General features: G+C 44.1%; 1 protein-coding gene across 23 annotated transcripts in view, besides 2 other annotated features; it reads right to left on the minus strand.

Moving 5' to 3' along the window:
• Positions 1 to 12,343, minus strand: part of FGFR2 (fibroblast growth factor receptor 2) — a 120,129-nt gene that overhangs the window by 31,277 nt on the left and 76,509 nt on the right. For 6 of the 23 annotated variants that reach the window (XM_024447891.2, XM_024447890.2, XM_006717710.5 and 3 more), the window contains 3 exons: positions 10,373 to 10,563; positions 9,076 to 9,223; positions 5,511 to 5,713 (listed from right to left, as the gene is read on the minus strand). In XM_024447891.2, coding sequence (XP_024303659.1) covers positions 5,511 to 5,713; positions 9,076 to 9,223; positions 10,373 to 10,563 — 542 coding nt within the window. Of the gene's footprint in view, positions 1 to 5,510; positions 5,714 to 7,712; positions 7,858 to 9,075; positions 9,224 to 10,372; positions 10,564 to 12,343 lie in introns of all 23 variants that reach the window. The other 17 variants (NM_001441090.1, NM_023029.3, NM_000141.5 and 14 more) reach the window with 6 other exon arrangements.
• Positions 1,280 to 1,795: an enhancer, noted in NCBI's record as "H3K4me1 hESC enhancer chr10:123270400-123270915 (GRCh37/hg19 assembly coordinates)". NCBI's record gives its function as "activates a minimal SCP1, AML or CMV promoter by ChIP-STARR-seq in primed H9 embryonic stem cells {active_cell/tissue: H9 hESC(primed)}" and the evidence as "EXISTENCE:reporter gene assay evidence [ECO:0000049][PMID:30033119]".
• Positions 8,785 to 8,954: an enhancer, noted in NCBI's record as "experimental_10566 CRE fragment used in MPRA reporter constructs". NCBI's record gives its function as "activates a minimal promoter by MPRAs in K562 erythroleukemia cells, with activity observed for both the introgressed and non-introgressed 10:123277990 variant alleles {active_cell/tissue: K562}" and the evidence as "EXISTENCE:reporter gene assay evidence [ECO:0000049][PMID:34662402]".

Below are 12,343 nucleotides of genomic sequence, written 5' to 3' on the forward strand. Positions count from 1 at the left end.
CCAAGTAGCTGGGATTACAGGCATGTACCACCACGCCCAGCTAATTTTGTATTTTTAGTAGACACATGGTTTCATCACGCTGGTCAGGCTGGTCTCGAACTCCTGACCTCAGGTGATCCACCTACGTCGGCCTCCCAAAGTGCTGGGATTACAGGTGTGGGCCACTGCGCCCGGTCTAACAGTGTTATCTCTTTATACTGAATTAAATTTACCATCTAGAGGGGATTTCTCAGAGAACAGAGCAAGCAGAAGCAAAGATGTTCCAGGGAGAAGAGACGAATTAATATTTGTGTGTTTACTCCCCAGGACTGACAAACACACTTGGACCACAGCCTGCCAAACAGGCCCTGTGACTCTTAGGCTGCAAACCACCTTCCCCCACAAGAACACGAGGCTGGCATTAACATACTTCTGCTCTAATATAAGCCTTGCCCACCACTCCCCTATGGCCAAACAAAATGCTTTCACCACCGCAAGCTGGGTGCCTGAGATAAACCTTCAAAGGCTTCTGAAGTTGCATTTTTAATTCCTCCATAACAAAATTTAGGTAATTAGGCAAGGCAGTTCATCAGACACTCACTTTTCTCCCATAGCGAGTCTCTGCCTCCCGCAGGCCTTTCCCTGGGACTCTGTGAGTAAACCTATCAGAGCCATGACGCACCAGCCCCAGATGCGCTGGCTCTGCTCGAGAGATCGCATCAGCCAAGGTCCAGGTCAGATCTTGGGCAAACTGTCATGTCCTTTGGAGGCTGAGAGAGGAGAAAAGGGAGCAGCGAAATAGGGGCAGGGAGGATGAGGTGCCCACATGAAAGGGCAGATTCCAGTTAAGTCATCCGTGACCACTCTAATTACCCAAATGTTTTCTGGAGCCGGTAAGGTTTAGACCACCTGATTGACCAAAATACAGAGAATATTCCCAGATCATGATGTTCAGCTGCCAGGCAGTAAACGAGCTTCTGGGAGTAGAACATCCATCCCCCTTCCCGGAATTTGGCATATGTTTGAGGATCACTAACACTGGACCTGAGAACTGGCTACTGAGTCACACATTCCTCCCCCGAGGCACCCGCTCCGCTCCTCCCCCTTCATCTTGGTCCTATTCCTAACGTCCCCAGGAATATGCCATTTGCCTCAAAAGTATTGCTACAAAAGGTAGCCTTCACTGCCCTTGATTTATTTTATTTTATTTTATTTTATTTTATTTTATTTGTGTGAGACGGAGTATCACTCTGTCACCAAGGCTGGAGTGCAGTGGCGCGATCTCAGCTCACTGCAACCTCTACCTCCTGGGTTCTAGTGATTCTCCTGCCTTAGTTTCCCAAGTAGCTGAGACTACAGGCATGCATCACCACACCCAGCTAATTTTTGTATTTTTTAGTGGAGATGGGGTTTCACTATATGTTGGCCAGGCTGGTCTAGAACTCCTGACTGCAGGTGATCTGCCTGTCTTGGTCTCCCAAAGTGCTGGGATTACAGGCATGAGCCACGGCACCCAGTCTGCTCTTGATTTTTCTCTGGTTTTCAGCCTACCTATATCAGCAGCTGAGAAGGTGAAACTAAAGTCTGAAAAAAACAAAAAAAAAACCACCCTGCAGCCTCTTGTACCATGCTGACGGCAGTGAGAGAGGGTGTAAGCTGCACAGGAGATGAATTTATCTGGACGGAGCCAACCATAAGACAGTTAAATCTCCATCCTACCCTATGGAAGCTTCAAGCCCCAGAGAAAGAAACTGATGTGCTCGATGTAAAACTGATTCAGCAAACCCAGCAACACCGCACGTCTCCTAAACAGGCATCCTCAGTTTCCTCTGCACTCCATCCTCCACCCACCCCTACACCTTCCCCCACCACCCAATTGATGTGTGGAAAACACAGAAAGTAATGCTGCCCCCTTTAACTCACAAAGGCTGCTTCACACTGGTCACTGGCTGTCCAGCATACCTGTACCAGAACCAACACGCTCACAAAGATGCCCCTCTCTGGGCTGGCTGTTGTTGGTCTCATTTAACTCGCTGGGCACCAAAGGAGTGGGAGTGGGTGAGCAGTGTCTGGCACGGTGCCCAAGCCCTGACACTGAATGTGACATGAGCCTCCATCAAAGGACACAGGGAGATGCCACCTGCCATCTGCCTCCCACCACCCAAAAGTTGCTTCTCCTTCTTCAACCATGTGCATACAAAGTCTCAAAAAATTCACGCTTACTAGGAAATGATTGCAAGGAATTTCTTCTTTGGTACTGGAAAAAAATATTTTTGCTCAAAAAAATAACATAAACTGAAACGTCTGTGTTACACCAGTAAGTCTAGTGCAAATTAATAAATGCCAAGAAGGAAAAACTCACAGGAGGAACGAAAACCCAACTTTTCTTGTCCTGAAAAGAGAACAAGGATGGACTGAGGGACCTGAGTGAGACGCTGTGTGTGTATGGGTGTTGGAGAGGGAAAGAGTCAGGGCCATGGAGACACTGAGTGATCCCTGTGTCCTAGAGGAGACTGGCCAACACAGAATAAAAAGTGGCCTCATAAATGCCTAGAAACAACCCATCCTTGACACATCTGATTAGAGGCTCAGGTAAAGGCATGCTTGGCATCCCTGTGGTATTTGCTCTGTCATCAACGTATCTGCAGGCCTTTCTGGGGCTTTTCATTCCAGCTCCAGTCCAATAACCCTCTTTTATCCAGATACCCGATAAGCATCTCTTTCTCTACCAAAGGGGCCATGCGTACTGATGAAACATTCTTTGTGAAGATCCAATAATGTACCCCACTTGGACATGTAGAAGGAGCTGAGGTGTGTCAACATTCCCCCCAAATAAATTAATCTCGCAGAGATGTACTTTTCCAGGGAACTGGTATTTGCCCCCTTTCCTCTGCTTCTGTTATACTCCTCGGCCCTACTGAACACAAGCCAATTACATTTTCTTTTTTTTCCCACTTTGGGTTTTTGTTTTGTTTTGTTTTGTTTTGTTTTTTGAGTTGGAGTCTCGCTGTGTTGGTCAGGCTGGTCTTGAACTCCTGGGTTCAAAGGATCCTCCCGCTTCAGCCTCCTGTGGAGCTAGGATTACAGGCATTTACCATCAAATAACCTTGGAACCACTGGTGAATGTGACAGGCTGTGTCTTACATGTAACCTGATTTATACCCCGCACTTAGTAAATTATGATGAATAAATAAAGGAAGGAGGGAAGAAAAAGAGGAAGGAACTCTGATGTTCCCTCTGGTAACACAGGGAAGAGAGGAAAAAGGACCAACTTAGGCTGAATTCTCTCTCTTTTTTTTTAAAGACGGAGTTTTACTCTTGTTGCCCAGGCTGGAGCGCAATGGTGTGATCTTGGCTCATTGCAACCTCCACCTCCCAGGTTCAAGTGATTCTCCTGCCTCAGCCTCCCAAGCAGCTGGGACTACAGGCATGCACCACCACACCCAGCTAATTTTTGTACTTTTAGTAGAGACGAGGTTTCAACATGTTAGTCAGGCTGGATGGTCTCGAACTCCTGACCTCGGGTGATCCACGCGCCTCAGCCTCCCAAAGTGCTGGGATTACAGGCGTGAGCCACCACGCCCGGCCAGGCTGAATTCTCTTAAAGAAAAAATATAAATGGTATTGCATGTGAGTATACATATAATTACTTAATTTAGAACATTCTTATGTCAACTTCCAATGTCTGCCCTCTTCTTAGTCCTCAAGGATCCATCCACAAGCAGTATATTTCCAAATACTATTTTTCTCAAACTGTATTCTTAGATGGACAGTGAAGAAAAGCCAGCTGGCACTGGGGAAAGAAAACACGATGACTGTGGCTGAGTCAGGGGGATTTTAAGGGCATCTTACCCTTCTATATTAAGTAAAAAGAAAAGCATTTTAACAGTTGCAGAAAAAAAGATGATGAGATAATTAAGGGGCAGTGGCCTAGCTATGCCAAATTACAAGTTGCCTCCAGAAGTTACCATTTTTCCCTATTAGAAAAAAAATAATAGAAACCATGTAAGAGTTATCTCAGGACTGGACTCTTCTAGAAACTGGTTGGCCAACTGGCCTCATCTTTGCTTTCCTGGCCCCAAGAAAGATAATCATGTCACTCAAAATGACAACAGCATTCTTGGTGGCAGACGTGACCCAACAGGCCCCTCTTTTCCATGCTGTTAACACAATTTGGTCATTCGCCTACGCTTGACACACACTTTAAATTCTATCCTCCGTCTCCACAAAGAAAGACCTGCTTGAAACATGGCTTTAGAGAAGTTAACAAGGACCCATTCAGCCAGGAGTTTGAAGCTGGGTTGTGAACAACCAGACCCATTCCAAAACCACTGCTGACCAACTGGTTCCTAATCCTTCCTAATGCCTTGTCCAGAAAATGTCATTCCTACCTGAAGTCCCGGGAGAGGCATGCCTGGAATTAACCTGGAGTTTCTCAAAGTGCATTCTAAAATCACCATAGGGCTTGTGTAAAATGCAGATTCCTGGCCCTATCCAAGATGACTGAACAAGAATCTCTGGGGCTGAGACAAAGGAATCTGAAATTTTAACAAGCACCCCGTACATTTTACTAAAATACACACTGAAATAGAGCCAATGAGTTTGCTGTTTTACTTGCTATTTCAAAAGAAACCTTTATCAGAACCAAGTTTCAAATGCTTTTGTAAACGTTCTGCATCTACATCTGCCTTCCGCTTCCATCTCTGTGAATAAGCAGAAAAGAGCTGAGGCATTTCCTGTCCCACCTACCTATGCAGGGCTTTGGTTTACACCAGAGGCTCCATCTTGCCCCATCTCCCCCAAAGCAAAATTAAACCAATCAGGAGGCACACACAAGCAAAAAGCAACCACCAAAGACCAAGTTGGTGGTTAAAAACAATCTGTTGCTGGTTCCATACAAATATTCTACTAATAAATCCACAGCCACACCTGTGAACTACTAACAATGAGACATAATAGATGCATACAATTCTATTGTAAATTGCAAAGAGGTTAAGCCAAAATTCTGTGTAGAAAGTTATTGTGCAACAGTTTAAATCAAACAGTTCAGATGCACCCCCAGGGCATAAGATACTGATCTTGACTTTAAAAAATAAGTCAGAGAACTTAGAGTCTCTTTCGTACTAGTGGCATAAGTCCCAAGCGAATGTTCATGCTTATCTTAAAAAAGGTATTAGATCACAGGACACGAATGTGGCTAAAGCTTCGAAGAGACCGCTGTACTTGAGTCTGATCAAACACACACAGGGGGATTTGCCTCCAGTTATTTCCAGTCCTGCTGATTAGTTTTCTGATTCTGACAGTATTGTCCTTTCTTGCCCTTGGAACTGGACCCCATTGATCCAAGCAACGCACCATGACTAGACTCTCCAAGCTCCAAACACTAACTGGGTGACCGCCAAGCATCACACCAGAATCACTCGCACATGGAAGCTCACAGAAGTCGATGGCATCAAAGCAGAGGACAAGATCCACAAGCTGGCTGGGTCATGGGGGAGGAGTAAATTTCTTTAAACTCTTTATCTACTTTCTGTTACCTGTCTCCGCAGGGGGATACGTTTGGTCAGCTTGTGCACAGCCGGCTGGCTGCTGAAGTCTGGCTTCTTGGTCGTGTTCTTCATTCGGCACAGGATGACTGTTACCACCATACAGGCGATTAAGAAGACCCCTATGCAGTAAATGGCTATCTCCAGGTAGTCTGGGGAAGCTGTAATCTCCTTTTCTCTTCCAGGCGCTAGATTGCAGATCACAGGAGGAGGAACAGATAAGCAGGCCATAGAGTTAGCACACCAGACTGACGCATCATAGCACAACCAAAGGAACCAAAAGGCGACGACCATTCTCAAGGCAAGGTGGGCTTCCCAAAAACTCCCAAATGAAAATGAATAACCAGGGGTCCATCATTTGACCACCAGGACCCAGGTAGTCACTGTCACTAGCCTCAGTGGGCACCTGCAATCCAGTGAGTGGTTGACACCCAGTTGCACAGGGCAGGCTATGAGGCCACATTTTGTTAGACATTTCAGTGGAGGACGACCAACTGTACCCACAATGAAAGGATTATCTTTCATGATCGTCTGTGAATGCAAACCAAATAAAAAATTCTGAAATATCAACGATGCCCACTTTTGTTTCTAAGGAGACAGTGACAATGCTTCAGTCTTACATGGGTAGGCTCTTCCAAAGGAAGACTCCACAGGATAATTTAACCCGGATGAACACAATTCCATATGAAACTGATGTTCATCTAGTAGGCTGGTCTGAAAAAGTTTTGGTGAATTCCTTAATACCATCTAGTCCATAAACAAACCAATGCATTAAATACACAGATTGAATTGCTTATAATATAGAACCATTAGATCCATAATACATAAAGATTATAATATTCTTTAATAACCTTTTAAGTTTATACATATCCGGTTATATTGTTATGTCACTACAGCTTTTCTCTTAAAGAAAAAACATAAAGGTATTATGTGTGAGTATACATATAATTACTTAATTTAGCACATTTTTATATCAACTTCCAATGTCTGACTTCTTCTTAGTCCTCGATGATCCATCTACAAGCAGTGTATTTCCAAATAGTGTTTTTCTCAAACTGCATTCTTAGTTAAGTGCTAGCACTGTCAGGCAAACTGGTTAAGAAGTGCCAGTTAGGCACCACAGAATGCAGTACTGCAAATAAAAGCAAGCTTCAACATAAGAGACATCTCTTTGTTTCAAAGCAAATATTCACAGAGCAGATTCGCAACAAAAGGAAAAACGGATGCAATGGTATTATTGAAAGCTTATACATTTTAATCAGAAAAATACTTGCAAGATAGTCAAAACTCTCAGCAGCAACAGCACAAAAATGAAACGATCTATTTTATTTTTACTAGATGTAAAATAAGCATGCAGGTAAGCACTGTACTCTAAAAACAAGGAATTAATAACTGGAGTGGAACATCATAAGCTAGCAAACCACAGTCTCTGCAGTTTCACAAAGGAAATGACAAAGAGGCAGATGCATCAGAGAGGACAGTGTTTAATTTCAAGAAAGTTTCACTAGAATAGAGATGTCGGTTAAAGATTCAGACAGCAGCAATGTTTAGGCAACAGGGCTGCAATGATGTTTATTTCTCTGTGAGGCAGAAATAACATCAAGCCCAAGATGGCAGGAGCATGCTTTGCAATGAAAGCAAACCGAAAGTCCATCCTATCGCAACATGCAGCAAGCCACCGATCCCCAAGGTAGGCAACACACTGCTTCTGTGCATCTGACATTCAGAGGTGCCGCTCCCCAGGCTCCTCCATACACATCCCTCTATTTACATCTCGTTAAAAATACAAAGTGGGATGAAAGCAATAAAAACACATACAGGATTTTAGCAAAATGGAATTTGAAATGAGAATAAATTACTTTGAATTTTACCAAAGTAATGGCAACTTGTTCCTTAAGAGAAAGGGGGATGGGCTAATTTATACATTGGCTCAATGACTCACTAAAAATATGAGATCCCTTCAGGTTTTAAGGGTGAAATTTCCCTTGATCATAAATGTGAGTGTGGGATCTCACTGTGTGTGAATTTCCAAGGCAGTTTTCTTATCCCTGAGGGATCATTTTTAACATTTTTTATATCTTTATGCAAGGATAAAAGGGGCCATTTCTGATAACAGAAGCTGTGTTAATTTTATAGCAGTCAACCAAGAAAAGGGAAAAAAACCCAGAGAGAAAGAACAGTATATACCTGGCAGAACTGTCAACCATGCAGAGTGAAAGGATATCCCAATAGAATTACCCGCCAAGCACGTATATTCCCCAGCGTCCTCAAAAGTTACATTCCGAATATAGAGAACCTCAATCTCTTTGTCCGTGGTGTTAACACCGGCGGCCTAGAAAACAAGGGAAGCAAAAGAAAAGGCTAGACGACACAGGAATGATTGTGGAGGGGGCTGTGGAACCACAAGGCGTCGCACCGGGGGCTTCAGGGGGTGCTGGCCACTGGGAGATTCCGACTGCAGCCCATCCACAAAGCCCACAACCGAGAGACACGGAGCAACACTGACCAGCTCACCTCCACAGGCCCGTCACCACACCGGCTTCACCTCCTACACATGCACGCAATCAAACGCATGGAAAAAATCAACCCACAGAGGTCCGTTCTCTTGGCCTGTGCTTTGGTTTGCATTTAGGGGTGGTTTTCCAAAAGTATGGTGCCCAGAAGGCCAAGCTGGTTCTGGTCCTGTTGGCTGCAGACTCCCACCAAGAGGAAAGGGTAGTTCTATCTAAATTGCTGTGTTTTAAGACAACACACTGCACATAAGCCCAGATGGACACCTCACCCATCCTCCTGGCCCTGTGGGAACCAATTGGGGTGGAAGGTTGTCTTGGTTACCAGGCTCTGGTTATTTTTACTTCTGCGATACCATCTTGCCCTACATAGCATTGACAAAAAGAAATGGAAGCAAGCATCATCTTGGTAACCAAAAAAACTGGGCTTTTTCTCTTTTCATTAATAAACATTTGGATGTGAGTCATGACAAACCTAAAAAGTCAACCTTTTGCCTTTAGTAGCGTCCAGTAGTACATTCATTAAGATGAGCTCCCCTCAAATTTGGTGCAACAAGGTCAAGAACAGCAACTCATAAGGATCAACCATGCAACCAAAGAAATGATGCTTTGTTGAACAAATTGCATCTTGCCAATATTTCCCTAAAAACTTGAAGTAGAAGGAGACAAACTCTGCTGATACTCAAATGCCCCGTATTAAACAGGCATGGAAGCGTGTGTTTTAAATGGTGTTAATGTGCAGTAATGATGGGAAATGTGCAGCCTAAACAAGATCAACCAGAAGGAACAACTTAAAAACTGGGTGGGGGTGGAGGCTAATCTCTAGAAGAAATTGGAGCAAGCACTTTGAACGTTGTGGGCATTTTTCCATGGCTACTGGCATCATACCAGCTGCATCACCGAAGAAAGATTATTATAAATATACCAAGGCCACAAGAGTTATCCTATAAGCTGCCTGCAGTCTCCCAAAGCACCAAGTCTTTTCAGCTTCTATATCCAGCTTTCTTTTTAAAAAAAGACAAAAATGAAAGCATTGTTACCTTGCTGTTTTGGCAGGACAGTGAGCCAGGCAGACTGGTTGGCCTGCCCTATATAATTGGAGACCTTACATATATATTCCCCAGCATCCGCCTCGGTCACATTGAACAGAGCCAGCACTTCTGCATTGGAACTATTTATCCCCGAGTGCTAGAACAGACACAGGAGAACAATATAACGGCCAACCAGGAAGGTCTTAGCATTGTCTATGGTCCCACCACCAACACACCGCAAGAAAACAAACTCCATTACGTCTAAACAGCGGCATTAAAGGGCTGCGGATTTTAAAGAACAAAATCAGTCCAGTGGTGGACAACGGAAAGACCTGGTGGAGAGAAGGGCAGGAGGGTGTGAGCGATAGCTAACTGGATAGGTCGGGTGGGTCCCCAGGTTGGTCATCTTTTCCCAATGCCTTTGATCCTTGGAATTATTAGCTGGTGAGAACACTTCATTGGCTGAAAGTTCTTAGCTGGGTCACCTATGGTTCTACTGGAAGAATGTTCTTCTTAAGGACATTCATTCTCCATGAGCAACTAGACATGGGAGGCGTGGTAGGCAAGGAGTTAAGAGCCAGCTGTACAGACTTAGCTGCCCCTGTCCTCAGTCTCCTGAAGAGCAAACCTAGATCTAAAAAAGAGGCAGATGCTATGAAAATGGGGGCTTGCAAATAAGAAATAAGGAGGGAAAGATATTTTCCTTGTTCAACATTTCACTGGTGCAGAAATATGACCTAGAGTTTATTGTCTAAATCACCTCTGAATGGATTTCAAAGGTCAGGGTTTTGTTTTGTTTTGTTTTTGTTAAAAAAAAAATCCAAATTGTTTCTAAAACGTGGCTACTAAAATTGGATCCTAATGTCCTATTAATAGAAAACAACATCAGAGTAACAATCAACACTGGCACAATGCCTTGAGCCTACAAAGCTCTTTCCATCCACTCCATCCCATTTATTCTGCACAACCGCCCTATGGGGGACAGAGTATCACGATCTCTACTTTTATAGAGGCGCAGCTAAGCCTAAATGTCTGCGATCTCAGGGCTGATAAATAGCTGAACTATTCTCTCTCCAAGTTTAGTAGTTCTTCCCCAAGTTTAGTAGTTCTTCCCCTACTCCATAGTTCCCTTCTGAAATTCTACTAGCAAGTGTAATGATCTGTTAATTCCTTAGAACACTCTCTGCTGGCTAGTCAAAAAAGAGAATCATCCTCTCTCAACTCCAACAGGAAATCAAAGAACCTGTGGCCAAACCCATGAAGGAGACCCCAGTTGTGGGTACCTTTAGATTCAGAAAGTCCTCACCTTGAGAACCTTGAGGTAGGGCAGCCCGTCGGGCCCGTATTTACTGCCGTTCTTTTCCACGTGCTTGATCCACTGGATGTGGGGCTGGGCATCACTGTAAACCTTGCAGACAAACTCTACGTCTCCTCCGACCACTGTGGAGGCATTTGCCGGCAGTCCGGCTTGGAGGATGGGCCGGTGAGGCGATCGCTCTGGTGGAGAGAGGGAAGAAAGGAGGAGTGGGGATGGGAGAATGAGAGACCAATAAATAAGCTGTGTTGTCCAGAGGGCTGTCAGTGACCTCATGCCAGAAAAGCCTCAAGCCTGCTGGCTGACACCTTTGAAATAACACTGTGGCCCCATGAATAACAGAAACGACTTCAAAGGAGACTGCCGGAGCGCGACCCTTGTAAAAAGAACACTTACTTAGAAAATTGAGAAAAGAACTTATTACATCCCAGGTTATTGGCTGTCCACTGCCACCTGATGAATACGGGAAGAAATTCTACTCTGACAATCTAAGTGACAAATGGTAGGGGAGGGAAGCTTCTTCACTTATCCTATTTGAGATAATCTCAAAAACTCACCTCAACCACAAGCTTAACATCACAGGCAAATGACAAGACTAACTTTAAAGACACTCTGAATACCAAAAATGGTTTCAATAGGCACATGTCTCCCAATACATTTTTTTTTCTTTTCTCAGACGGGGTCTCACTTCATTGCCCAGGCTGGAGTGCAGTGGCATGATCACGGCTCACTGCAGCCTCAGCCTCCCAGGCTCAGGTGATTCTCCAACCTCAGCCTCCTGAGTAGCTGGGACTACAGGCAACCGCCACCACGCCCAGCTGACTTTCAAATGTTTTATAGAAAGAGGATTTCATCATGTTGCCTGGGCTGGTCTCAAACTCCTATGCTCAAGCGATCCACCTGCCTTGGCCTCCCAAATTGCTGGGATTACAGACGTGAGCCACCACGCTCGGCTCCAGTACATTTCTAAGATGCTCTGAGAAGACTTCCAACCTTTGTTTTAAAAATTAAACTAAAGCCTAAAGCCCAAAGTTATGAACAGATTTGATTAATAATGGGATTCACCTCTTTATTGTGGAATTCACTCCATTCATTCATTCTTTATTCACCCATTTAGCTCTTTGATGAATATCAGGTGTTACTCTATGCCAGTTACTAAATGCACAAGTAGATGTTTCTTAGCTTATTCCAATATGGCACTGAATGAAACATAAGGAGATGCTGGTTTCCAACTCCTGGCTATGTTTTAGACTGCCCTATAAAAGGGCAGAGATGGTATCCCAAAATTACTTCCTAGCTTCACTTGTCTTGCCTCTCTCTCCTTCGAGAACACGTTCTCAACAAAGAATACACCCTCTCATCTTATGCCTGGAAAGGCTTCTCTCCAGCTAAGAGGCGGTCTCTGCAAAACTTTTGTGGAGACAATCAAGCCAAGGTGTGCTAGCAACCACACATGAGACTCCTCAAGTGTTAAGTAATACCCATGGAAAAATGGGCTAAGGACTTAACTATGCATTTCTCCAAGACACAAATGGCCACTAGGTGTATGAAAAGTTTCTCAATGTCACTAATCATTAGAGAAATGCAAATCAGACGAGATCGGGCGCGTTCCAAATCAAAACCACAAGGAGCTATCACATGACACCTGTCAGGATGGGAAGAAAAAAAAAAAAAGACAAGTGTCGGCAAGGATGTGGAGACACTGGAACCCCTGCGCACTGTTGGTGGGAATATAAAATGATGCAGCCACCATGGAAAACAATATGGAGGTTCCTCAAAAAATTAAAAACAGAACTACCCTAAGATCCTGCAATCCCACTTCTCTATTTATCTAAAAGAACTGCAATCAGGATCTGCACTCCTATATTAATTGCAGCACCATTAACAATAGCCAAGAAATGGAATCAATCTAAGTGTCTGCCAAAGGATTAATTTTTACAATGTGGCTATATACACAACGGA

The sequence above is a fragment of the Homo sapiens genome, chromosome 10, assembly GCF_000001405.40.
Source record: "Homo sapiens chromosome 10, GRCh38.p14 Primary Assembly".
NCBI classification, from domain to species: Eukaryota; Metazoa; Chordata; class Mammalia; order Primates; family Hominidae; genus Homo; species Homo sapiens.